The following is a 27,257-nucleotide window of genomic DNA, read 5'->3' on the forward strand; positions in this document are numbered from 1 at the left end:
ACCTCCCCACAAGCTGAGGGAGCCAGCTCCGGCCTTGGCCAGCCCAGACGGACTCCCACAGTGCAGCGGTGGGCTGAAAGGCTCCTCAAGCGCGGCCAGAGTGGGTGCCAAGGCCAAGAAGGCACCGAGAGTGAGCGAGGGCTGCCAGCACGCTGTCACCTCTCAGTCCAAGTTACCACTTCCGTCTTTTACACAGAGTACAAGTGCTCTATTCTGACCCCTTAAGGATTGCTCTTGCTAAGTCCATTTATCCCCGCCAAGTGGTTTTACTTCTGTCTCTTTTCCTGACCCTAGGCACATTTAGCATCAGGATACTCATCCATTTCTGAACTGTGTGTGAACAGCACACAAACCTATCACAATTTGTGAATGAGCATTGGAGAGGTGTAGGGGCCAAGGGAAAACTTTCCCTTCACCCTCCAAAGGTTTGCTGAAAATCACTGACAGAAAGAAGATTAACAGGAGAAAAGGCATAAAAACTTATTTGATTATAGTTTTACCTGACACAGGAGCCTTCAGAATGAAGACCCAAAGGTACAGGGGTGATTACCCATTTTTATACTTAGGTTCAACAAAGTATAGACAGCCATGTAGAAATACGATTGGACAAAATAGGCGATCTAATGCTAATAGACTGACCTGGCCTTGGCCAGTCTAGTTTAGATTCCTGGCCTCTCTGTGCAGCATTCCCTCCTCCTGGATATGGGATAGAACCTTCTCTAGAAGAGGAGTTTTATAACCTACAGTTGAGATGGGTCAAATAATTTATGGCCAGTTTTTACACAGAAAGGTGGAGGAAAGTTAGAGTAATGCTTTTGGGTTTTGTGTCTGGCTTCAGGGAAAGGGGGTTCCGGTTTCAATGACTCTTCTTAGGGAAGATGGGCTCCAGTTTCTATGACCTGCCTCCTAGAATGAGACTGAGAAGAGAGCAGGGCAGGAAGTCAGAGAAACACTGTTGCGTCTGAGGCCTTCACTTTGGGCTATCATTTTCTGAGCCTCAACAGAGGGAAAAACAAAAAAGGTAAGGAGGAACTGCAAAGGCAGAAAAAGAGGGTAATATAATAATAACTACCATTTTGTACTGAGCACCAGGCATCCTGCTGGGCGCATTACCTGGCTTCACTCATTTAATACAACCCTAAAGCTGGGCACTGTCTTTACAGATGAGAAAACCGAAGTTAAGAAGTGATTTGCCAGGTCACCCAGCTAGTATCTGGCAGAGCCAGGGTTCCTCCAGCTCAAAAGAAGAGCTCTAGGAGAAATACGAGGAAGAAAGGTTTTTAATTGTTGTTTTAAAGGGCCAGCATAGGCGCTGGAGAGGAAAGAAAGGCATATGCAAAGGGTGGAGAAACAAAAAGTGATGTTAAGTCAAGAGCCGAGGAGAGGGAACTGCAGGAGAAGCAAAGTGAAAAAAGGTTAAGAAACGCCTTGAGTACTGCGAGGACGTTAAGATCCAAACAGCACAAGAAGGAAGGTCAAAATCAGGTGTACGAGGCCCGTGTGCCCCGCCCCGCCCCAGGCGGACGGCTGACAGCGCCCCACCCCAGGAGGAGGCGGGACTTCCTCACCGCAGAGTGGCTGCTTCCGGTAGAATCCGGAAGCCTGTACGGAGAAGGGGCGGGGCCAAAACTGCGCGCCCAATCGGGGTGACGCTCTAGCCTTGCCGGGGACTCGTGGGTAACTTGCTTTTGGGAGCCAGCGGTATGGCGTCGGGCTGCAAGATTGGCCCGTCCATCCTCAACAGCGACCTGGCCAATTTAGGGGCCGAGTGCCTCCGGATGCTAGACTCTGGGGCCGATTATCTGCACCTGGACGTAATGGACGGGTAACTCCTCCGGGCTCCGGTCGGGCTTGCCGCGCGGCGGGGCGGATCAGTGCACCTTTATTGACTGCTTGTTGGATGTACCGCGTCCCTGTACCACCGAGCGCCTCACTCTGAACGCGATGCTAGAAGGGGTGTGGGGTAGGAGCCCTGGAGGCTCTAGCAGGAGCAGAACCGACGCGGTATCCTGGGTTGCGGCCGGGTCCCAAACCTCAGTTCCTCCCCTCCCCCCACGTAACGTGTGGTCTTCCATCACTTAGGACCCGGAAGCGACCTAAATCTTTAGGACATTTCTTCACTTTCAGCTAGAGAAACTGAGGCCCAAGGGGAGAAGCATGACTTGCCCAAGCTCATATAGCTAGTTAGTGGCAAAGCTGGGGAAACAGACTTCTCTAACGATTTAAGTTGGCACCTGCGGTTAGGTTCCCGAGTTCTGCCACTTGCTGGGTTACCTTGGACAAGCCACTAACCTCATTGAGCTTCAGTTTCATAATTTGAAAAATGGAACTACTAACAGAACCTACCGCTTAGGCATCTTGGAAGATGAAATGAGCGAGTACATGAGAAGTTTACAGTGCCTGGCGTATATTAAGTTCTCTATAATTGTTAATTACATCATTATTACAATTCTGATTTTCCTGTCTATTTTCTCTTCAGGCACCCTGCTCTTCAGGGAGGTCAGTTTTTTGTAAGTAATTTTTAAGCACCGTAGTTACAGCACATAATATTGTTTGGAGTCAGGATATTAGTTTCTGAAGTTGGTTACAGAATGAGGAAACAACCCCAGAGAAAGCAGTAAGACTCCCTCAAGATTACAGAAGATTGTGACAGACTTGCAACTTGGCTCTTCCTAGGTTTGCCAAGTAGTTCTCTGAGCCCCACTGTTAACTGACTATAAAAATCATAAATACCATTATCTTGAGTGGGGATGGAAAAATAAATTTATTTTAAATAGGTAAAAACCCTGTGTTCCCTCATTCAGTTTGCAAATTGGTGTTATTTTCTAAAGGTGATGATTTCCTTTTCTTTTTAATGTTAATCTGGCTTTGAAGAGTTTTATCTTCCATTGCTCTATGTGGTTAAATGTATTGTTTCTCTTTGGCATTTTACCCAGTTACCTTAGGAGTCCACCCAACTGATAATGACAAAACTTTGACCATAGAGTACTAAAAATAATAGGCCAAATGTGTAAAAAGTTTAGTAAATATTACCTCTCACAAAGGTTGGCTTTTAATTGGCCATTATATGTAATTATACTTATATACTTTATTTTTGACATCTTTGCTTGAAAGCCCTAAACTGTCACAGGTAATAATACCCTGAGTGTCTACCTCAAAGGTAAGTAGCTACATTTTTGTGCCTGAGAAAATACCTAGAGGGTCACAGGATGGAACAGCTATGTGTATATTTGTGAGTCTATTTGAGCAATTTGGTTTTAATTAAACTATGTTTGAGTAAGTTAATGGTTGGGGAAAGTAATTGTTTCGGTTCACCAGTCAGGATTATTAATGATAACCATAGTAGCAATGTTTATGAGCACTTGACTGTTTCTGTTCTGGAGTTTTTTTGTGAATTAACTCAAACAACCGTTTGAAATTGGTGGTGTTATTACCACCAGCATTTGACAGCGAGGAATTGGGCACAGAGAGGTTAAGTCATCTGCCAGTGGTCTCATAACTAGGAAATGGTGGAGCCAGGGTTGGAAGCAATGCAACAGCTTGTGTTGTCTCAAATGAAATGCTTTCTGTGGTTCCTAGGCTTACAGGGAATGACTAAGACATTGTTTGGCCTCAAAAAAGCAACTAATAATTTGTGTATTTATTTCTGTTAACTGTATACTTATTTTTGTTAACTTATTTCATGTCTCTCCTGCTACCCTATAAGCTTCCTGAAAGCCAAGTTTATCTTCTTTTTGCTCACCTATATATTCTTTGCTGGAAAAGCACCATAAGGTGCTTAGTTATTGTTGGCCGAATGAATGAATAGCTTAATCATAATAGGAGAAGTCTCTCAGAAGTCACTTTTGTCCCCTTGCAGCTCTATGGCAGACTGAGCTCAGTAAGGCAAAGTATTTACCATGGATCAGAGTTTTGGGAACAAAAAAATAAAAAATGAAGTATTTGTTTTTTATTGATTCCTCTTCCCCTTTGCCAGGAGATACTTTGGTTTGGAAAAACTGAATTCTGCATACACAATTTTAAAATTATTTCCCTTTTAATCTTCTCTACTTTCTGAGTTAAGAGCTGTTTCTATTCCCCTTTTGCAAAGGAGGAAACCAGTGTAGGGAGATTCAGCTTCTTCCCTGATGTCTCACCAGATTCAGCAGAGCCTGGCAGAGTTGGTGCCAGTGCCCCTACGTGATGTGCTGTGGTGTCTACTAGGCTAGGGCTATGAAAGTGGGCTGTGGACTCCTTTTTGAAATGTGGCCAGCCACAATGTCCCTTCCCTCCCAGGACTGCCTTCGTGTTTTTTTTTTCCTGGCCCCTTTTAAAAATCTCATCCAACATTACACTTTGGATGTGCTTATTGTTTTCTAGTCTCCTCCCCACTAAGACCTCCAATTTCTCCCCTGATTACAACTGAATTTCTTCATTTAGAAAGTCAGAAACCAGTCTGGGGAATACTGTGGAAGGTGGAGCACTAGCATGACTGGATATGTGAAACAAAGGACAAGTGGATTCTCTGGGGGAAAAAAACCCTAGAAAACACATAAATGCATCATGACAGGACAGTGACTAGAATGTGTTCATCCTAACCATGGGAACAGAGCAAAGAATTAATTTCTAAATTCGCTACCAGGATTTAAAACTGGGACGATTTCACATTAATACTGCATTTCTGACTTTTGGGGGAAAAAAAAAAACAGTTCAAAGACTTGCTAGCACTGGGCCCTCAGTCTTACCAGGTGACATGCGCTGGAGCTGACAGGGGCAGCCTCACCTTTAGTCATGTGGGGTGTACTTCATTTGGCCCCTTTCCCTATCTGCTCTGTTTTGCTCTTTGATGTTACCTAACTCTCAGCAGCATTGAGTTTGTGATTCCTGATTCACAGGAAGATTGTGTTCTAGTTACAGTCCTGTACCTTTTATAGCAACTCTAATCCTCCTCTTACCATCTTTGCCTTGTTGGGAGATAGGGTAAATGGCTTGATCTGTCTGCAGTAGATTGTGTTAGAATTACGTAAGTAAAGCTTAGGAGTGATGATGGAACATGAGAGAGAAAATTGTATCCTTGTATTACAAAAAATTATAGTGTAATTCCAGTAAGTCCCTGGAAGAAAGGGATACCTTTTTATTTTATTTTATTTCTTTCACACTTAACTAACTCCAGGAAATAACTTAAAGGAAAAAGAGGCAGAATAAGATAATGATGAAGCAGACTTTTTAGTGAAGTTTCTCTCTGTTAAGTGAAATAATTAAGTGTTTTCCAAGCTGGTCTGTTAACTCCCTCTGGCATTTGTTCAAAATTCAGATTCCCGGTCCTCTTTGGAGTCAGTAGGCTGAGGTAGAGACTGTAAATACATTAGAACTGCTCTCATGGTTACTGTTTGGCAAATTTGGGACACCCTGACTTCGTGCTTAGGATTGTAGCCCCTTTTTGTTATGGCTTAGCGTAGCCTTTGGGTTTTTTTTTGAGACTACTGATGCATTCTTGTTCTTCCAATATACTTCGTGAACCTAGTGCATTGAATTGATTTTCAAAAGCACAAATTAAGTCACGTAACTTTGGGGTTAGTATTTTTATACGTTTTGTTTAGGTTTTCCCAAAAAAGTAAAAGTGTATTTTTTTTGGTTCTTTTATTTACTCGGGAGGTGGTTATTATACTTTTATTTTCATAATAAATGAAACCTACTGTTAAGACAACGAAACTATTTCCCAGACTACACAGCAAATTAAAAGAACAGTATGTGAAATTCAGATCTTTAATTCCAGAATTGTAAAACATTCAATAGGCCTTACTGCCTGCTTCTGTGACCCTTATTTCAAGTTCTAAGTAAACACATGCATCTTATCCACAGCCCTGACAATCATTGCTCAGGCAAATGTTAGAATCACTTTTTTAATGATAGAAATTAAACCTCCAAAGACCAAGGTGTTATTGAGTGAAAGTGTCTGTTCCCATCCACCTTATGTGTCCCTCTCAGATGTGTCCTGAATCCTTACCTCTCTCTCTTGAATCTCTTCTCCGCTAGACTTTTTCCCCTTGTTTGTTTCGTTTGTTGTCATTATAGGGACAGATGAGCATAGTAGTTAAGAGTCTGGACTTTGTAGCCATAGTGCCTATGTTTAATTCCTGCCTCCAGCACTTACTGGTTGTGTGACCTTGGGCCTCTGTTCCTCATCTGTAAAATACAGTTAATAAAAGTACCTACCTCATAGGGTTGTTGTGAGGTTTTAATGATTTAATATACAGAAAGTCTTTAGAACTGTGTGTGGCCCACATATAAGTTTGGTTTTTATTAGCACTCATTCTACCTGTCATCTAACTGTGAGACCTTAAACATAGTTTGTATTTTAACTCCCCTCCCACACACCTAATCATTTAACAGATCCAATCAGTTTTGCCTGTCTTGTCATTCTTAGTGTTCCTTGCCACTTACCAAGTGGCAATTGCAGTCACCTACCCTCTTGTAATTTATTTCCCATCCTATCTTATTTATTAATATTTCTCACTTTAAGATCTTACTTCATATTTACAGCAGGACAAAAGTCCAGACACTGAGCTTGGCATTTGACACCTTTAATGTGATACTACCAACCTCCCATCTTTTTTTTACACTAGCCAAAGTTGGTCAATACCACTCTCCACGTCTTTGACTGTAACTTGCTTATTTCTGCTTTTGCTTCATTTTCAGCCTTTGTTTCTTTTCCCATCTTTATAAATCCTATTTTGTAAATCTCATGAACTTCTTTCTTAACGTTCTCTAATACTTGCTCTTATTTTATGTATGTTTTATCTATAATCACGTTACCTGCCTGTTATTGTATAGCTTTTCTTGTAATCCTCATATAGGATAATACCTGCTGCTTTAACAAAGCCCAGATTTCAGTAGCTTAGCATTCTAGTTTCTCATTCATAAAAGAGTTCAGTGTGAGTGTTATTCCATTCTGTGGCTCTTCCATTCTGTAAGGGCTTTGTTGGCAGAAGGGTAAAGTGGCAATAGGAAAGGAATTCTCCTTAACCTTCTGAGCTCTGCAGTGACACACTACTTGCACTCACAGTCTGGTGGTGAGAGTCACATGAGCCACTTGGATGTAAAGGGAACTGGGAACTGGGATGTAAAGTCACATGGGCCACTTGAATATAAAGGGAACTGGGAATGAAAAGGTTTGACTGAGTTGACATCCCACTGACAACTATACGATAGCAGTAGGGTTGTGAATTCTGGTGAGTCATTCATTAGCTGTCAATCTCTGTCATAGGAACTGTAGCGTATTTCCTTTACAAAACAGTATTCTGAAGCACCTAGTATGGTACTTGCATATAGGGGATTTTTTTTGTTTGTTTTTGTTTTTTTTTTTTTTTTTTTTTGAGATGGAGTCTTGCTCTGTTGCCCAGGCTGGAGTGCAGTGGCGTGATCTCAGCTCACTACAGTCTCCACCTCCTGGGTACAAGCGATCTTCCTGCCTCAGCCTCCTGAGTATCTGGGATTATAGACGCACGCCACCACACCCAGCTAATTTTTATATTTTTAGTAGAGACGGAGTTTCACCATGTTGGCCAGGCTGGTCTTGAACACCTGCCCTTGTGATCTGCCACCTTGTTCTCCCAAAGTGCTGGGATTACAGGTGTGAGCCACCATGCCCGGCCCCGGTTTTGTTAAAGATTTAAGTGAACTAGTGATAGAACAAAAAGATTAACTGGAGTAGGGTAAAGGATAAGTACCGTGGGTCTGGTAGACTTGATTTGTTTTTGTTTTTGTTTTCGTTTTTGAGGTAAGTCTCGCTTTGTCGCCCAGGCTGGAATACAGTGGCACGATCTTGGCTCACTGCACCCTCCACCTCCCAGATTCAAACGATTCTCCTGCCTCAGCCTGCCTAGAAGCTGGGATTACAGGTGCATGCCACCACTCCCAGCTAATTTTTGTATTTTTAGTAGAGACAGGGTTTCACTATGTTGGCCAGGCTGGTCTTGAACTCCTGACCTCAAGTGATCTGCCCGCCTCAGCCTCCCAAAGTATTGGGGTTACAGGCGTGAGCCACTGTGCCTGGCTGGTAGACTTAATTTGAATCCACTTCCACAAATTATTAACTGAGTTACTTAAGGATTTTATTTATCTTGTGCTCTTCAAAGGGGATAATAATAGCATCTACTTTGTAAGGCTGTCGTGAAGATGAAATGAAGTAAATTACGATGCTTGGCATGTAGTAAACCCTCGGTGAAAGGTGGTCGTTACTAATAAACACATCATGTTTCTTTATTAGTCATCTTTAAGAAAGTTTAAAGAAACTGTCATTTAGTGCCTTGTGATAGAAGTGATTAGAAGTAGCCACAGGCCTCCTGAGATAGACTAGGATTCAGGAGATCAATATTAGAGTCCAGAACTTACTAACTAGTGTGTGACTTGGGCAAGTCATAAAGCCTGAGGGTTTCTGATTTTATCATCTCTCCATTTCTACTTGTCATGGGTCGTGAATTACGGAGTCAAATCATTATGAAAATATATGTGACGTGATTTGTTGAAATGTCAAGGAGACATTGCCTAGTAAAACCAAAATGACCCATTATTTTTAGTATTATTTAATACTGATGATTAAGTATTAAATTGAAAAACATTGCAGACAATCCCCTCAACCTGTGTCAGAATTCATATTGAGAGAGATACAGAAACTGAATTGAAAACATTTTCAGAGTAGATTTTGTTTGTCTTGTAGGCATTTTGTTCCCAACATCACCTTTGGTCACCCTGTGGTAGAAAGCCTTCGAAAGCAGCTAGGCCAGGACCCTTTCTTTGGTAAGTGGGTGTTACGCCATCTGAAGCTGGATGTGTTGCTCAAGTAAAGGAAAACTGGATGGTTGATTTTAACTTCCAAGTTCATCTGGCACCCTTTCCCCAACTTTCCTATCCTGGGTCTTCATTGGCCTGACTCCAGTAACAAGCCAAACTTCTTCCTGCCTCTGGGCCTTGGCTAATCTGCATGGAAAGGTAGTAGCTTGGCTGGCTGCCTCATCTTTGGGCCTCAAGTCATTTGTCATTTCCTCAGAGAGGCCTTTTTGAGCGTCCTCTCCCAAATTAACCTTTATCCAATTATCTTATCACCTGTTGATTTTCCTCTGAGAACTTCCTTTGATCTGCGATTACTTTTATTAGACTATAAACTCTCTGAGGGCGGGGATTGAATCCAGTTTGTTTACTGTGGTTTTCCTAAAGCTAAGCATAGACATGATCAGGGCTCAGTGTAATTGTTAAGTGAATTTATGAATCAGTTGATTTATGGTCCAGAAGCCATTTATTTTGTGCAAATTGGAGCTTTCTACAAGTGGTGCCTAAATATTCACTCCAATGTCCTAGTACAATGTAAATTAAGATTTTTAAGATTACTTAGTGGCCTACAAGTGATTTATGTTAAGTTAGCAATGTCTCACCTGCCAGATCTCTTAAACATGAGAAATTTTACACATTTTTATAAATAGTGTTATTTATTTTTTTCTTTTTTTTAAAATAGAGACTGAGTTTCGCCATGTTTCCCGGGCTAGTCTCAAACTCCTGGGCTCAAGCAATCCACCTGCCTTGGCCTCCCAAAGTGCTAGGATTACAGGCTTGAGCCACCAGCCTAGCCATAAATAGTTTTTTTAACGTAGCTTACAATTTAGTAGAACTTAGATTCTTTTTAATCAGCATATTGCTGACCAGTTTTATGAAGGACTCTGTGCTGTTCACTATGGTAGTCATAAGCCACATGTAGCTATTAAAATTAAATAAACTTAAGTTCATGACCAGAATGGCCAACATGGTGAAACCCTGTCTCTACTAAAAATTCAAAAATTAATCAGGCGTGGTGGCAAACACCTATAATCCCAGCTACTCAGGAGGCTGAGGCATGAGAATCACTTGAACCTGGGAGGTGGAGATTGTAGTGAGCTGAGGTCATTCCACTGCACTCCAGCCTGAGTGACAGTGTGACACTCCATGTCAAAAAAAAAAAATTTTTTTTAAATTAAATAACATAAACTTAAAAATTCGGTTTCTTATTCACGTTAATCACATTGCAAGTCTTCAGTAGTCACATATTGTACAGTGCAGCTATGGGACATTTCCAATATCACAGAAAATTCTGTTGAATATAGTCTCCAGCCTCTGTGTAGGATCTATCTACTTTGAGTTCACCAAAGAAAATGTACATTATTACCTCATTTATGTGGCATGAGGAAACAATGTTCCACCAATATATTCACCATTTTGAAATTTCCATATAATGGGATATAGTCCTCTGATTATCTAAACTTTCTTTTAAGCCATGATTAGCTTATATAGCAGATACCGTGACTTTTCCTATGAATTACGGTTGTTCTCATGACCATGAGAGGTAGATGAAATAAATAGCATTGTTTTCTCCCACTGTACAACCAATGGCCAGAATCCTCGCTTCTGGCTTGCTTGTGTGAATTTTTTTAATGCTTGCTTTTTTTCCCCTTTTCGCTCCCTTTTATTTGGGCTCCCATTGTCACACCATACTATTGTCTATATCCCTTCCTGTCAGTGCCTTTCCTTTTAGCAATCCTGTGTTGCTGCCACCACACACAATCTGCTTTTTCTTCTTGTTTTTAATTTGTTGATAAACTTGCTAATTAATCTTTCTAGAATTTGGTCTAAAAGATAAATGAACTCCATTCACTTTAATGTTTGGGTTTTGTGACCCTTGTTTTTTGGTTTTTCGCTTTTTGTTGTTGTTGTTGTTGTTGCTTTAAGAGACAGACTCCGTCTATTACCCAGGCAAGAGTACAGTGGTACAGTCATAGCTCACTGCATCCTTGAACTCCTGGGCTCAAGCAATCCTCCCGCCACAGCTATAGCTAAGACTACAGGTGTGTGCCACCACAACCGGCTATTTTTTTTTTTTTTTTTTTTTTTTACTTTTTGTAGAGATGGGATCTCCCTGTATTGCCCAGGCTAATCTTGAATGCTTGGGCTCAAGCCATCCTCCTGCCTTGGCTTCCCAAAGTGTTGTGATAGTAGGTGTAAGTCACTGAGCCCGACTACCTTTGTTTTTTATATTGAGAAACATTTGTTTAATTCTTGGATTTTGGTTGTTGGATAATTGATACATGAATGTATTCTAGGACCTAGATTACATGTTGTGTTGTATATGTAACGCTAACATTCTTAACTGTTCAGTTTTCATATTGAGTAGAAATAAATGTCTAAGAAATACAGTGATGGGAAAAGTCTGTTCCTGTTATTGTCTAAATCAGTGATCCTCAAGTATGTTGTATAAGGACCCACACAAATCCTTAAGACCCTTTCGGGTCATCCATGAGAGTATATCAAAACTATTTTCATAATCCTAAGAAATTATTTGCCATTATTTCTACTGATGGTACAAAAACATTGATGAGTTAGTTTGCTGGTGCCTTAACCAACTCAAGGCAGGGACTGTATCAGGAGTTATTCTTCATCATCATGCATTTGCAATAAATATCCTTGATGAAGCAGTAGAAATTAATAAATCTTGGTCCCTGAATACATGCCTTTTTAATATTTTGTGTGGCAAAGTAGGAAGTGCATATAAAGTGCTTGTGCTGCATTGCTGCATACTGGAACATAATGGTTTTCTCAAGGAAAACCACTTGCACCATAGAGGTGTGATCTGAACTAGCTGCTTTCCTCCAGAACACTATGTTTGTTTGAAAGAACAACTGACAGATCAACTATGGTTTTTCAGACCTGGCTATTTTAATGACATTTAAAAAATATTAACTAAATGAGGCTGTCTCTTCAAGGAAAGATACCTTGTCAGTTTTTGTTCCCAAAATTAGAATTTTAAAAAACTTGTGTATCTTACCACTCTGGGTTTGATAGCGTCCCAACAGTTAACAAGCTTTTCTGATGAGATCTGTAGTTATTTTACCAAATGTGATTTTGGGGTACTATGGAATGAAATCTGTCACTATTTGTAAGATGTGTGTAACTCAGTAAATCAGTACTTAAAAGACCCATTCAAAATACAAGACAAACAATGGGTTTTAATGTAACAAAGAATGAAAAGCTCATTGATAGGGTTTACAGAGTGCACACTGCAGCTAACCTTTATAAAATTACCACCCAGCACATTTAAGATAGGCTAGGCTAAGCTATGATGTTTGGTGTGTTAGGTATATTAAATGCAGTTAGAGATAACAGTATTTTCAATTTAGATTGAGTTAATTGGGATGTAACCCCATTGTAAGTTACAGAACATCTGTATTACAACAGATTAGATACAGAACAGATGTGAGAATATAGGTGTCTTCTGTTAAGCCAGACACTGAAAACTTGCAAAAATGTAAAACAAATAATACCACTCTTAATTAATAGGTAATAGAGTTATCCTTTTTTTTTTTTTTTTTGAGACAGTCTTGCTCTGTCACCCAGGCTAGAGTGCAGTGGTGGCCTTCATACCTCACTGAAGCCTCAGTCTTGATGGGCTCCAGCAGTCCTCCCACCTCACCTCTCCCCTCCAGTAGCTGGGACTGCAGGGGCACACTACCATGCCTAGCTAATTATTCTGTTGTTGTTGAGAAGGAGTCTTACTATGTTGCCCAGGATGGTCTCAAACTGGGCTCAAGCCATCCTCCCTCCTCAGCCTCCTAAGATTATAGGTGTGAGCCACCAAACCCGCCAAAAATTACATGCTTTAAAATGTCTTAGTTTGAATTTCTCATACATTAAATATCTATAAATATAATCCATATCAACAGAAGTTTCTTGGGGTCTTTAATAATTTTTAAGAGTGTAAACTCCTGGGCTCAAGCAATCCACTTGCCTTGGCCTCCCAAAGTGCCAGGATTACAGGCTTGAGCCACCGCACCTAGCCATATATAGTGTTTTTTTAATGTAACTTAGAATTTAATAGACCTTAGATTCTTTTTAATCAGCATATTGTTGACCAAGTTTATGAATAATAGATTATGATTATAATAGATGATAGAATGATTGGGAATTGCTGATCTAATGTTAACTATGCACAGATTTGCTGAACCATTGACTCCCTGAACACCATAGAACTTCTCCATTGAGGGTTGCTAGTGGTTACTGGATGCTAGAGGTTGAGTAAGGATGACATAGCTAGCAGTCTGGTAACTTAAGGAATGAATAGAGTAGGTTTTTTTGTTTTTTGTTTTTTTTTTGAGATGGAGTCTCGCTCTGTCGCCCAGGCTGGAGTGCAGTGGAGCGATCTCGGCTGACTGCAAGCTCCGCCTCCTGGATTCACGCTGTTCTGCCTCAGCCTCTCGAGTAGCTGGGATTACAGGCGCCCGCCACCACGCCCAGCTAATTTTTTTGTATTTTTAGTAGAGATGGGGTTTCACCGTGTTAGCCAGGATGGTCTCGATCTCCTGACCTCGTGATCCACCCGCCTTGGCCTCCCAAAGTGCTGGGGTTACAGGCGTGAGCCACCGCGCCCGGCCTGGAGTAGGTATTTTAAACCGGCTTGAATTTTCCTTGTTTATGATGCAAAGAATAAGAAACACCAGATTTAATACATTTTTTTAAGAATAAAGTTTTACCTATTAAAATATGTTCTAATTTAGGCCGGGTGTGGTGGCCCATACCTATAATCCCTGCACTTCGGGAAGCCAGCGTCAGAGGATCACTTGTGGCCAGAAGTTCGAGACCAGCCTGGGAAACAGTGAGAACTCATCTCTATTAAAAAAAAAAAAGTTCTCATACAATTACTTTTGCTGGATTAGAAATACAAACGTTAATCTTGACTTTATTAGTCAAGCTTTATACTTTCTTTTTCTGACTTTTTTTTTTCAAGGCTTTATTGTATTTCATAATTGTTCTGAAATGTTAGAATTTTTTTCTTAAATATAGCTTGGCTGTTTCAGAAATGTGCTTCCTCTAGCAAAATAAAAAACTTAAAACCTCTCCTCACTACCATCTATCAAACACAGGATTCTTCACAGTGTTATTTCTTGGTTTAGCTTGTTTTAAGCTGCCCTCTCCTTCTTATGAAATGCTATTATGTTTTAAATCAAGATCTTTAAGAAGGCCATGCCCATTTTCACCTTATGTGTTTATATGAATCAAGCTTTAGAATTAGGATGAATATCAGGTTTCTTGCAGTCAACATGTCCTTCCCCCTAAATTTGTTCTTGCAGTCTTGCCTCTCAATTAATGGCAGTTCCGTTCTTCTAGTTGATAAGGTCAAAATCCTTGATGCCATCTTTATTTTCCTCTCATCTATCTATCCATGGAGGATCCTCTTATCCTCCACATCTCATCTATCCTCAGCTCTCTTTGCTCTTATTTAAGAACATATCCATCCCGAATTGCTGCCATCATTTTTCACCTGGGTTATTGCTATCGTAGCTTCCTCAGTCGATAGTATCTTGTCACTTCACTGTGGTGGTTTTTCCCAGTGGCCTGCAGAATGCTGAAGGGTTTCTCCTCACCACATGCTTCCCTGACCTCTGACTGGTGTATCTCCTTCCCCAGGCACACCAGCCATATTAACTGCCAACCTAGTGTGCATTTTACTTACTTATTTTGTTTATTGTTTGACTCTCGCATTAAGAATGTAATCCCTATGACAGGAGAGTTTCATGTTTTTGCTCTAACCCTAGGACCTAGAATAATTAATGATGCAGCAATAGCTCGATAAATTGAAAGAATAAATGAAAAGGATCACTTAATTTTTCCTAGAGGAAACTAGTTTGCATGGATAGTATGACTTATTCTTTAAGTTTTTTAGAGTGGCATTTCCTGGACCTGGACCTAGATTTCCTGATTTTTAGATGTTAACTTTTTATATACAGCACTGTATGCTTTTTGTGGGAAAATAGTGTTTTTTGTAAATGAATTTAAATAAATCCTTGTCTTCAAAATAAGAGGAAACTACCTATACTGAATTAGAACTATTTAAATAATGATTTGTGTGATGGCCAAAGAGTTCTTATCAGAAGTGGCAAAAACTACATACAGGTTGGCTTCCAATAACATGAGCCAGGTATTTTTCAGTAATATTTTGAAGTGTCTTTTCTTTCTAGACATGCACATGATGGTGTCCAAGCCAGAACAGTGGGTAAAGCCAATGGCTGTAGCAGGAGCCAATCAGTACACCTTTCATCTCGAGGCTACTGAGAACCCAGGGGCTTTGATTAAAGACATTCGGGAGAATGGGATGAAGGTAAGAAATCGTGATGAGAGTGTTTTGTAACATTCACTCTCAGTTGGGAAGATTTGCGGGAAACAGGAAATTTTCTCTTTTTTTGATACAGTCTTGCTCTGTCACCCAGGCTGAAGTGCAGTGGCACAGTCAGGGCCCATTGCAGGTAAAGAATACCTTACTTAAGCAGCTGTTCTTCAGCTATGATGCCAGGATTTAACTTCTTTGTCACATAGCATTTATGTATTCCACTAAAGTTTTCTGAAAGCTACTGCTTGTTGAAAATACTTACATTTAATAGTCTTGTTAACTTTTAAAAAATAAGAACAGATATTTCTACTGGGCCTGCTATGCCACAATAATATAATACAGAAGTAATTGTAAATGTGATATAGCATATTTGTGTCTGTTACAGGTTGGCCTTGCCATCAAACCAGGAACCTCAGTTGAGTATTTGGCACCATGGGCTAATCAGATAGATATGGCCTTGGTTATGACAGTGGAACCGGGGTTTGGAGGGCAGAAATTCATGGAAGATATGATGCCAAAGGTAAAAGAAGTATTTGATTTTGGGGTGAGGCTTTTACAGTGTGTTCATTCAGTAAGCATTTATTGAAAGGCTTGTATATTTAGGCATAACCTGTTCTGAAGGTGAGGAGATGGGGATGCTTACAGATCATTCTAATACAGTATAATAAATGCTGTAATAGATTTCTGATTTGGAAATCAGAGAAGTATTACATCTTTATCTTGAAATTTTCTCTTTCTTTGAGACAAAGTCTTGCTCTGTCACCTGGGCTGGAATGCAGTAATTCAATTAGGGTTCATTGCAGCCTTGACCTCCTGGACTCAAGAGATCCTCCTGCCTCGGCCCCCTGAGTAGCTAGGACTACAGGTGCATACCACCATGCCCGGCTAATTCTTACACATTTTAGTAGAGAGGAGGTCTCACTACGTACCCAGGCTGGTCTTGAACTCCTGGGCTTAAGCTGTCCTCCCACCTTGGTCTGCCAAAGTGTTGGGATTACAGGTGGCAGCCAACCACGCCTGGAAGTCTTGAAATTTCCTTTTGAAACTATTATCTCTAACTTTTAGATCTCTTGGAAGTTGTCATTGACTATTGAGGATTTGTCTGTCTTGTTTACATGACAGTCTCTGCAAAGACAATACAGATTGCTGTTTGCCAAATAGAACAAAGCTTGCTATTAAAAACCAAGTGTTCCCCAGTAATATGTTGTATTGGTATAGTTATTGTGTGAGACAATTGGAGTTTTAATTGCTAATATTTGCTGTTGGATTTTTTTGTTTGATTGTCCCCCACCCCCACCCCCACCAACATACCCACTTTAGGAGTTACTTATTTCCTCATGTATATATCTAGGTTCACTGGTTGAGGACCCAGTTCCCATCTTTGGATATAGAGGTCGATGGTGGAGTAGGTCCTGACACTGTCCATAAATGTGCAGAGGTGAGATTGCTCTTCAACTATGACTAGACCAATTTCCCGTCAAATATGTCTCCAGGACATTGTCTCATGGGCCAGCGATTCCCTCTGTGGTTCCTAAGTTGACTTTCTTTCTTGGAAAAGTATTTTTTGTTCACATGTACAACTAGGAAAATAAACAGCCATAAGTGGATATGCTTTTTTTTTTTTTTTTTTTTTTTCTTTTTCTGAGACAGTCTCTCTTTGTGGCCCAGATTGGAGTGCAGTGGCGTGATCTCTGCTCACTGCAATCTCTGCCTGCCGGGTTCAAGCGATTCTCCTGCCTCAGCCTCCTGAGTAGCTGGGATTACAGGTACCTGCCACCATGCTTGGCTAATTTTTTTATTTTTAGTAGAGACAGGGTTTCACTATGTTGGCCAGGCTGGTCTCAAACTCCTGACCTCAAGTGACCTGCCTGCCTCGGCCTCCCAAAGTGTTGGGATTACAGATGTGAGCCATGGCGTCTGGCCCGTAAGTGGATATTCTAAAATCACATAAATTGTTAAAATTGTAAATCCTGGTTTTCTCAGGAAGGCTGAAGAAAGTTCTTTTTTATAAAAGAATATGTTGAATTTCAGCCCTTTGGAAGATCATTAAGTTTCACGGCCTTGGAAGTGAGAAATTTTTCCAAAATACGGAATTAAAAGGTACTACCAAGGGGGGAAAATAGATAAATCTAATTGACCTAATTATTACATTATTCTTTAGAACCTACATATTATTTAGTTGTTCCTTGTAAGAACTTGCTAGAACCATTTTTGATGAAAATCTAGGCCTGATACCTCTTTGGCTATCTGTATAGAAGTAAAAACTTTTTTTTACTTTTTTTTTTTTTTCAGATAGCTAGTCTAGCATAGTCAGGCTCCTGAGGATGCCAGCCCTTCTGGTAGCACTGCAAGTGATTAAAGCTTACATGACTGCTTTTCTTCCACAGTGTGATGTATCTACTTCCAGGTTCTTGTATAACTGCCACACGTTTCTGCTTGATATATACCTATCAAAAGCTTGACAGTAGTAAATACTTATGCAGGAGGGGCTGGCCAGATGATGAGTGAGCTCATATCCTTTTGATCGCTTGTGGAATTGCTTTGTACTAAACTGTGCTTTGCCAGTATACTATTCCTGCTTTTATGCCAGAGGTAGCAAATTTTTTGTGTGAAAAATCAGACCTTGGCGATGACCTTAAACAGCAGGATATGAAGAACTCCCACAAGCTTAGCGTTCCAATAATGGAACACTAGGCATAAATGGGTTAACTGAAGAGAATATTTGCAGTGTTAACCCTATAAAACTCACCTTTATAATTTCTGTGAGGAATATTGTTAGAAATGTTGTCATACATGAAGTGACACTATCTGTCTGGAAAAATTTTCCTCAGCCTGTGGTTCTCCCACTTCTCCCTCTTTGTTCTAGCAATGAATCACAAAACAGATTGGGTTTCCATCCTTGAATCAGATCCTAGGAAGATCAGAGTTAAATTTGGACCCAATTTTTTAGCTTTTCTTTTTCAATTTCTTTGCTTCCATATTTAAATGTATCTTAAAAACTTTTTTAAAGCCACTTCAAAACCATTCTGAAATGCAATGAAGTATAAAGAGACATTCTATTTTTTGACACAAAAACGAGAACTCACTTAATTTTGCCGTAGTTTATGGATAATTTTACATTTTTAGCAATAATTGTCCTTTCACACTCACAAATTCATATAAATATAATTCAAAGAATAAAAGTGTTTTTTTAGTAACTGTAGAGGCATTGGTGCATATTGGGAAAAACCTTAGTGGACTTGAGGAGTAAAGGCTTTTAAACCTTATCTAAAGGTCGCAAAGATACCATGTAGATTATTAAGAGTTGGTTTACCAGAAAGGTCAATGATTTCTTAGACACATTTAAAAATAGTCTGACATCCTCATCTGTGAACATTTTAAATTTTTCTTATTGAACTAGATTGCTTAAGTCTGCTTAATCTCAAAGTGGCTCTCATATGATTGAAATGTTGACAGATGCAAGGGTAGACACTCTAGTCCAGGAATTCTGTTTTAGGTTTTTCTACATTTTCCTTTGAGGCATAACCTAACTGTTTACTTCTTCCAGGCAGGAGCTAACATGATTGTGTCTGGCAGTGCTATTATGAGGAGTGAAGACCCCAGATCTGTGATCAATCTATTAAGAAATGTTTGCTCAGAAGCTGCTCAGAAACGTTCTCTTGATCGGTGAAACCATAAGGAGCCCAGTGTTCCTGTTCATGAAATCTCCCTTTTACTGGAAAACAGGAATATTGACTACCAAATCACAATGCAATTGAAGCCGTACTGCTTTTTTGAGCAGTTATTCATTCCAGTGATTAAAACTGATTGTGCAGAATATTCTAAGAGGTCAGAAATTGGTGTGTATAACTACATTTTTAGTGATGCAATTTATTGATTAGTGAGTAAGATACTGTTTTTATTGAGAGATTTGATTTTTATAAAGTAAAAATACGGCTGCATTAGGGTTACAAACAGAAAAGTGTCTTAATGTCTAAGGAGGGCATATTAGCTACACTACAAAAACAAATTTTGTCTGTACTTCTGAAAAGAATTTTGTTGTTTCTCAGCTGTTTTCCAAAAGCAAAGGAAGTCTTTATGGTTTTTTTCTATTTCATGTTATTGTGATTTGTTTATAAGTTTGGGTGGGGTGCATACCATATTCTTGGTTCTTAAAATCTATCACTTTTCACCTTACACTTGATGTGTGAAAACTATAAAAACAATGTGTGAAACCCAGGGGTTCTAAAATACAAGCATAGATTTTATCAGGGTGTTTTGTCAAAGCAGGTTATTCAGTGATTCCTCCCCACCATTCTTAAGAACGTTAAATAATGCTGTTGTGTTAGCTCTGAGTAGAAAGGAAAAAGTAAAACCTCTGTTTGGAGGTAATATTGGGTTGAATTCTGACTGCCCCTTTCTAGCTGGACCTTTAACAAATCACCCAATCTTTTTTGTGTTTCTCTAAAGTCATTTATACATTAAATGTAATTATAGCAACTGTGGGGTTCTGTTGAGAATTAAGAGCTAACACTATATATGTAAAGTTTCCAGTACTAGTCCCAGAATTTAGAATATGCTCAACACAAAGTAAACAGCATTATATAAGTTTATATTTTTGTGAGTTATAAAGTACTTTGATATATTCTCATTAAATCTGTAAATCACCTCTATAAGTAAGTGGTAATAATAAAGCAGATATTTTTGTCCCCATTTAAAAAATGAAGAAATTAATGCTTAATAGGGTGGTACCCTGGAAAGGATCTGGGAAGTGGTAGAATTTCTGGTCTGTACTTTTACAAATGGAGCCCTTGGGAGGTGGGTTAGGTAAAAGAAGCTTTTTACTTAACGTTGTCTTATTTCCAGTCTAATTTTACGCTGTAGCAGAACCAGATGGCTGAGAAAATTCTGGAACTATGGATCTTGACCCCAAGGATATATTATTTTATTCCAAGAAAGATCAGGTAGGCGAAAAGATGACAGGATACAGAGTCAATCCATAAACTAAATATTTATAACTGTTCTGAATTATACAGAGTCTAAAAATATGTGTCAGCTACTTCATTCCTGTAAATACTCTTGCTGTGTTATAAATATGGCAAGAAATAAACATGACCAATATCAATAGACTTCTTGAGGCTACTATAAGTTTTGAGAAATAAGGTTCAAAAAATAAGAATGCTAACACTTAAGCACAGACTAGAGCTTGCTTGGGTTTCTTCCTGCATTACAAGGTAAAAATTTGTTAATGTTTGTTTTTATTCAGCTTGGGAAAGCTTTGTGCCATGAATACGTCGCATTTAATAACAAGCAACACACGGCATATAGAAATAACTTTAATTAAAAAACTTACATAGAAGATTATAATATCAGACGTGACAAAGATTTGAGTTTATTTGCCTGGACAACTTGGGTTTGTCTGGCTTTTGTTTTCTTTTTCTTTAAAAATAAATGTACAGTAAAACTACAAGCAAAAGTTTGTCAGTATTGAATTGAATTTTTTACCCCTTAAAAGGACTAGTATAATTTCCAATCTCTAACAAAAACTTAGTGTCAAATCTCACAGATAAGGCCAAATGGCCAATATTTTCAGTTATGTGGGTAGTACAACTTGAGTAACCTTTTTTACATGACAAAAAGTGAGTTATATAAATTGTCCTCAACTTTCACATAGGAAAAAAATGGTTTAATAGCTTCAAAAGGAATTTTCTTTCATGTATACTCTTCAGTATCCAATATTGAAGCTTTGTTCTTTGAAAAATTTTAATTTCCAATCTAGGATGCAAGCAAGAATATATGTTTATTTGAATAGAGTAAGCTATGGCAAAGAATGACCAAATTAGCTAGAAATAGAAATCAGCCAGAATTAACTAATTTCTTGCTAATCTAGAAATACAATCATCTTTTTTTTTTTTTTCAAATTTTATACTGATAGGGCTTTACTGTTTGTGGCTCATTTTAAAACTGGTGTCTTCTCTTCATGAGACACATTAATTGGTAAAACTCAAATTGAGTTTTCAAAGATGTGATAGTATTAAAGTGCACCAATATTTGACTCAAATTTGCTTGCTTTATTTTGTTAGGAGTAAACAGAAAGTAGCCTGTGTTTAGTCCCAAAGATAGCAGTGATTTTGAATAAAGGAGTTTTGTGTTGCCTGGATATATGAATTTCTGTAAATAACTTCTGTTGGTTAAACATGTTAAAACAACAACAACAACAACAAAAAACTTCTGTCTCTATATTCAGGACGTTCAGATGTCTTTTATTAGTGGAAACCTGTGTTTTATCTATTCTGCAGCTTACATTTCATAGGGTAGTTCATACATGCATTTCCAAGGGGAGTGGGTCATTGCCAGTGTTTTAAAAACTACATAGGGGTGTGTGTGTGTGTGTATGTTTATTTTATACACACATATTTGTATATTCTAATATATTACTAAGGCAATTTTAATGAATTACCATGTATATAAAAAAATAGCTGTCACTTGGCACACAGGTTTGTATGTATGTGTATATATATATGTATGTATGTATGGTGTGGGTACATAGTCTTAAAAATTACCCAGTAATGTGATTTGACATCAAGTTGCAGCAATTAATATCTTGGTGTTTGTAAGTAAGTTGCATGATAAACACAAATGACTACCACTTGTCTGTAGATGAAAATCTGGTTACCCTTATGGTTCCAGAAGGAAAAACAGACTTATCTTGCCTGTTTCATAAACAGCATAAAAGATTAATACATGCAGAACATGCTCTTATTCTGGAGGGGATGGGGGATCCAGAACAGGGCTTTATTTCCTCCCATCTTTCCTACATTTACATAGTTTTCTTAACCTGTTCCCTGTCACCTATTTTTTTTAACATTAGTAAGTCCTAGACCAAAGGTTTTGTATTCTTCCATTCCATCTGACTGCTTTTTTGGATGGTGGCCATTCTCTGGTACACTGGTACCGAAGATTTCACCATGGAAAGCTGTGCTTGACCTTTCAACCTGATCCTTTTTTTCATCTTGACATAATAAGGCTGCCATGTCTTCACCCTTCAGTGGAAAAGCCCGTCGTTCCCACCACAAAGACTGAAAGGGGAAAAATTTTCAGTTAAGTTTCAACTAACTTGTTTTGTTTAAATTCATCTAACAAGTAATCTGTACATGTCTATATTGTAATAATTGTTCTGTTCTTTAGCACATAAATGTACAATTTTTCATTTCAACTTAAATAGCAACTCAAAATGGAATATATTGAGAATTGTTGAGTGACTTTTGGGATTTATTTCTTTACTTTGCCTCTGCCAAGAAGAGGAAATGCTGCCATAGGCAGTGGTCTTCATTTCCGACCTAAGAGTACTTTGGGAAAGTGTTCTTAGGTTTGATATACTTCTACAGTATCTTCATTTTCATTATTAAAGGTACCTATTAACTTTTTCTTTCCTGAGCTTTCTGCAACTTGCCTATTAATTCTATAATCTCCATTCCATTCTAGATCTAGTTCTTTTTCAGTATCTATTTAGGAAGAAAGGTGTAAGAACTTTATGGATGCAGTGTTAGAAAGCAGTCCCTTTAAAGTAGGAACTGGGTCTGTGGTGAGGCATGTAAAAATCTTAAGATATGAGGAGAAAGAAATAGCAGCTAACTTTGGCCATGTAGCAGGTGCTATTCTTCATTAATCAGGTTTGTTTCGTAATGAAACTTTGATAGTACTTCCACTCTCTAATAGATAAATAAGTACTTGGAAGTTCGTATTGACTTGTTACACAAGGTGATTATAGTTAGTAGTGGACACAAAATGCTGCAATACAGATCTTCTATACCTAACTTATTGAATTTGTTATGTAATGATGTAATAAACTTAATTTTTTTCAAGTAGTTTCTACAAACAAGTAGTTAAAAGTCAAGGAATGGGAAGTTTAATCATACATATTACACTTACCTTGGTTTCTTGACTTTGATTTAAAGAAGGTAAGCCATATGCACACAGATCCTGGTTCTCTGAAGGAAGCCCAGGAGGACTTGCAGCAGCACATTGCTGACTGCTACTGAAGTTATTAGGGTATTCTTTCAAAAGCAAGTCCTGTCCTTCAACATTTTTACTGTAAGCTCTAGCAAGAAAATCAGGAAAACACAATTATTTTTTATTTTTTGAGGTCTTGAAAATTTATGAACAACCCAAGGTATCACTGAGTCAAGTTAACTTGGTAACTTTAAACAGTTTTGCCCAAAGATTTTTAAAAATTCCCCTGGTGCTATTTATTATTTTCATACTCAGAGGATGAAATAGTACTTTATGAAATATTTTACCGAATTATAACAGTTGTGGGGGGAGGGTTATTCTTGTTTTTTATTTGGGTTTGCTTTTGTCTTTTGTCTGACTAATTAAATGAAAGATGCTCCTTAACTAAAGTGACTACCAGACTTCACACAATCTTGCCTTTTTGAGTTTTGGCTATTTTAAAAATGATCAAATGTATAATAAATATAAAATAGGAATTTTCTCATATATATAATAATTATGTCTGATTTATTTCCCCTTCCCTCAAAGCTCATTTGTGTTTCTAAAAGTATTTTAGACTTTTTGCATTTTAGATTAAACAGGTTTCTTGAGAAATTTTTTATTTTTTTAAAGAAAAACATATTTTGGAAGTAGTGATGTTAAAATGGATTACCTAAACTCCAGTCCCCAGTGTGAGGTCCATTATTAAAGTAGATTGAAATGACCTACTTTATATATACAGAGAATTTTCACATTATTTGTTAGTTAAATCCATTCCTGAGGCTGACAACATAAGAGAGGAAAATACAGAAACTAATTTCATCATTATATAATTAGCTCAAATATATTTTGAATACAAGCTCATTCTATGTAGTATTTTACTTCTGGTGCACAATAGCTGATGTTACAACAGCATGTTTTCCTTTTTACTGGTCTCACCCAAAATTCATGCAGAGGTTTTGTTCATTTCACATGGATTCTATGGCTTGGGGTTTTAAATTTGTAACCTGCCTGCTGTTTCTTCTGTGCCACTTGCTTTGCTCCCATAGTGACCACCTGGCTTGCTCTCTCTCTTCATATTTTTTGTGCCTTAGGGAGAAGACTTCATCAGAAAGATCTTCTATCTGGAATTAGAAATAAAGATTTTTGTTTTAATCAGAAACATTTTGAAATATAAGATCAGGCTGGGCACGGTGGCTCACGCCTGTAATCCCAACACTTTGGAAGGCCGAGGTGGGTGGATCACGAGGTCAGGAGTTCAAGACCAGCCTGGCCAAGATGGTGAAATCCCGTCTCTACTAAAAAATACAAAAATTAGCTGGGCATGGTGGCAGGCGCCTGTAATCACAGCTACTCGGGAGGCTGAGGCAGAGAATTGCTTGAACGCGGGAGGCGGAGGTTGCAGTGAGCCAAGATCGTGCCACTGCACTCCAGCCTGGGTGACAGGGCGAGACTCTGTCTCAAAAAAAGAAATATAAGATCAGGTTTCAAAGAGTTTCTCATGTAGAAAACAGTAGGAAGCAAACTAAAATAAATGCTATCTGTGTAAGTTGAGAGAACAAATGTTATGAGATGAACTCCAAATTCCTGTAAAAGGGGAGTCAAAATTTTTTAAAAATTATTTCATTATTGTTATTTTTAGACACGGGTCTCTGTCGCCCAGGCTGTAGTGAGTGCAGTGGTGCAGTCATAGCTCACTGCAGCCTTGAACTTCTGGGCTCAAGCAATCCTCCCACCTCAAAAAACTTAAAAATACTTGTTTCCTATTGGTTCATATTTGAAGACTTCGGTAGGCTACAGATGAGTTCGTAATACTTTCCATTTGCCATAGCTTAGTACCAGTAGTCTTAATGTTTTATTCATTCAGGAGTTTTTATGGATCGTCCATTGTGGAGTACATACTATTCTAAGAAGATGTTAATATCAGATAAAAGTAAAACTAATAATCTTAGACAAGTCAGCATTAATTTAATGAATGACTTATCTAGGTTTTGAACCTGGAATACTACCTTAGTTAGGGTGTTTAAGAATTTGGGTTTCTTGGCTAGGATCATTCAGAAGTAAGGAAGAATACATTAGAAGAGGAAAGGGCATTAGAAGGTAAATTTTAGTAGTTGAAAAACATGACCACTGGACATAGAAAGATTGTTACTTGACAGAAACCAAGTGTCTTCAACAGTGTCATCTTCTAGAGACCATCACCTTGGAATTAGTTTGGTTATACAGTATTTTTCCCTATAATCTTATCTTGATATAATTTTATCCATACCTATTCACAACCCCTTACCTGCAATTCCAAAATCCAAAAATCTGCAAAAACAAATTTTTCATAATTCATTTGGTGACATAGCCTGATCTGAAATGATGTGAGGCTATTTTTAGTGTTTATCCAACTCAACTATGAATATTTCACTACAGAAACATTAATGTCTGATTACTTTTACGCCCGAGACTCTACAGGTATTACGTGATATGTTTACCACATTACTTTTTTAAAGTCCAAAATTTTCTAAACCGAAGAGCAAATTGGTCCTAAGATTCTGAAAATGGCATTTAAACTTAAATAATGAGTGAGACTAATCTCATGCAGAAAAATATAATTAATACTGACAATGAATGTGGATATTCACGTAAATTCAGTATCTCAAAAACTCATAAACAAATGCTATATTTTCTTTTGGCTTTTTTTTCTTTTTGAAACGGAGTCTTGCTCTGTTGCCCAGGCTGGAGTGCAGTGGTGCGATCTCGGCTCATTGCAAGCTCCGCCTCCCGGGTTCACGCTATTCTCCTGCCTCAGCCTCCCAAGTAGCTGGGACTACAGGTGCCCACCACCACGCCCGACTAATTTTTTTGTATTTTTAGTAGAGACGGGGTTTCACCGTGTTAGCTAGGATGGTCTCCATCTCCTGACCTCGTGATCCGCCCGTCTTGGCCTCCCAAAGTGCTGGGATTACAGGCATTAGCCACCGCGCCCGGCCTTGGCTTTTTAAATTATTGTGTATTTCTATATTATGCTGGTAGTCAAATTTGCACAAAACATTTTTCGAATATTCTTTTAAAAGAACTTCCTTTTCATAAGTGAAAAGAAAAAAATCAGTGTAAGTTAAAGGGCTTATATATTCCTTTAGTTCCCTGAATGTCAAAGTAAGCAGGTTTCATAATACATAATGTGCAATTATCCCATTAAATGAAAGGCAGCTTACCTCTTCTTTGCCTAAATTATATTCATCCAAAGGCTGAAGAACAACCATCCTCCAGCTGTTGAAGATAAAAACCAATTTTAAACAGCTTTTATTTATTTAAATGTGGCAATTTTATACTCAGCACAGCTAAATGTATTAGTGTTTCCTTGGCACTTCCATGGTTCAAATTGTTGTATTTTAATACTTAATTTTTTAAAAGAAAAACATTTGTATTATGAGAAAAGGACAAAAGAGAAAATGAGACTTTATTTTTGGCCTTATGGTGAATAGTCTGTTCTGTATAGCTGCATTTTATACATAATAATTATGTACTGACTGAAGTCAGTGGTACGCTGATAAACTGGCCTGGCCAAAAAGTAACAGAGAAGGAAAAAAACCCTGGTTTGTATGTTTGCCAATTTCTTTGGTGTGAAAATACCTACCATAGCCCCTTTTGAGCCATCAGTAGTTTAATAACTGGCTCACAGAAGTCTTCTATATTTAACTATCTGCTCAGCCAGCTAGCTCCAGCCTACCATTGCAAGTTGAAATATATTTTTGCTATAGAACGTCATAGCCACAAATGTTATTACTTATGCAACAAGTATCCACAGATTGAGTTCTCATATAACTCTTCTAGAATATTATGCTCTTAATACCTCAAAGTAATTATGAAGTAGTAAAAGAAATGAAATTAGAATAGAGATGTATAGCAATTGACTGAAATTGTCACCCACCTGTCTCTGTTTGCAGCCTTTTCTGTCTCTACTTCCTGGTGTCATTTATATTCTTAAGAAGCTGCATTCATGATTTCTAAAAAGTTTGGCTAACGTTACTGCCAGTAGGGAGCAGATCTGTGTATGGCATTCAGGGACCTCCACAAATCTGGACCTAACTTTGTCTCTAGCCTTCCATTATCAATCTGGACCTAACTTTGTTTT

The 27,257-nt window shown here is 38.4% G+C and overlaps 2 protein-coding genes across 28 annotated transcripts in view, besides 2 other annotated features; one reads left to right on the forward strand and one right to left on the reverse strand.

Annotated features, from left to right (window-relative positions):
- Window positions 1,680–21,302, forward strand: RPE (ribulose-5-phosphate-3-epimerase). 17 transcript variants are annotated; one of them, NM_001278283.2, is made up of 8 exons: window positions 1,680–1,825; window positions 2,480–2,510; window positions 8,699–8,778; window positions 15,015–15,154; window positions 15,246–15,299; window positions 15,549–15,683; window positions 16,515–16,601; window positions 18,711–21,302. In NM_001278283.2, the coding sequence occupies exons 4-8, from the start codon at window positions 15,017–15,019 to the stop codon at window positions 18,831–18,833; spliced, it is 537 nt and encodes a 178-aa protein (NP_001265212.1). In that variant the 5' UTR covers window positions 1,680–1,825; window positions 2,480–2,510; window positions 8,699–8,778; window positions 15,015–15,016; the 3' UTR covers window positions 18,834–21,302. The 17 variants fall into 17 exon arrangements, 16 of the variants coding, with proteins under 16 accessions (NP_001265212.1, XP_006712740.1, NP_001265211.1 ...); XR_001738880.3 differs by lacking the exons at window positions 2,480–2,510; window positions 15,246–15,299 and having other exon boundaries at window positions 18,711–18,991; window positions 20,009–20,618; XM_006712677.5 differs by lacking the exon at window positions 15,246–15,299.
- Window positions 1,689–1,738: an enhancer, noted in NCBI's record as "active region_17053". NCBI's record gives its function as "activates an Ori minimal core promoter by ATAC-STARR-seq in GM12878 lymphoblastoid cells {active_cell/tissue: GM12878}" and the evidence as "EXISTENCE:reporter gene assay evidence [ECO:0000049][PMID:35858748]".
- Window positions 1,779–1,948: an enhancer, noted in NCBI's record as "active region_17054". NCBI's record gives its function as "activates an Ori minimal core promoter by ATAC-STARR-seq in GM12878 lymphoblastoid cells {active_cell/tissue: GM12878}" and the evidence as "EXISTENCE:reporter gene assay evidence [ECO:0000049][PMID:35858748]".
- KANSL1L (KAT8 regulatory NSL complex subunit 1 like) overlaps window positions 20,463–27,257 on the reverse strand; it is a 151,340-nt gene continuing 144,545 nt past the window's right edge. For all 11 annotated transcript variants that reach the window (XM_047443489.1, NM_001307976.2, NM_152519.4 and 8 more), the window contains 4 exons: window positions 26,338–26,392; window positions 24,146–24,258; window positions 23,075–23,243; window positions 20,463–22,221 (listed from right to left, as the gene is read on the reverse strand). In XM_047443489.1, coding sequence (XP_047299445.1) covers window positions 21,991–22,221; window positions 23,075–23,243; window positions 24,146–24,258; window positions 26,338–26,392 — 568 coding nt within the window. In that variant the 3' untranslated portion in view covers window positions 20,463–21,990. The remainder of the gene's footprint in view (window positions 22,222–23,074; window positions 23,244–24,145; window positions 24,259–26,337; window positions 26,393–27,257) is intronic.

The sequence above is a fragment of the Homo sapiens genome, chromosome 2, assembly GCF_000001405.40.
Source record: "Homo sapiens chromosome 2, GRCh38.p14 Primary Assembly".
In the NCBI taxonomy this organism is placed as follows: Eukaryota; Metazoa; Chordata; class Mammalia; order Primates; family Hominidae; genus Homo; species Homo sapiens.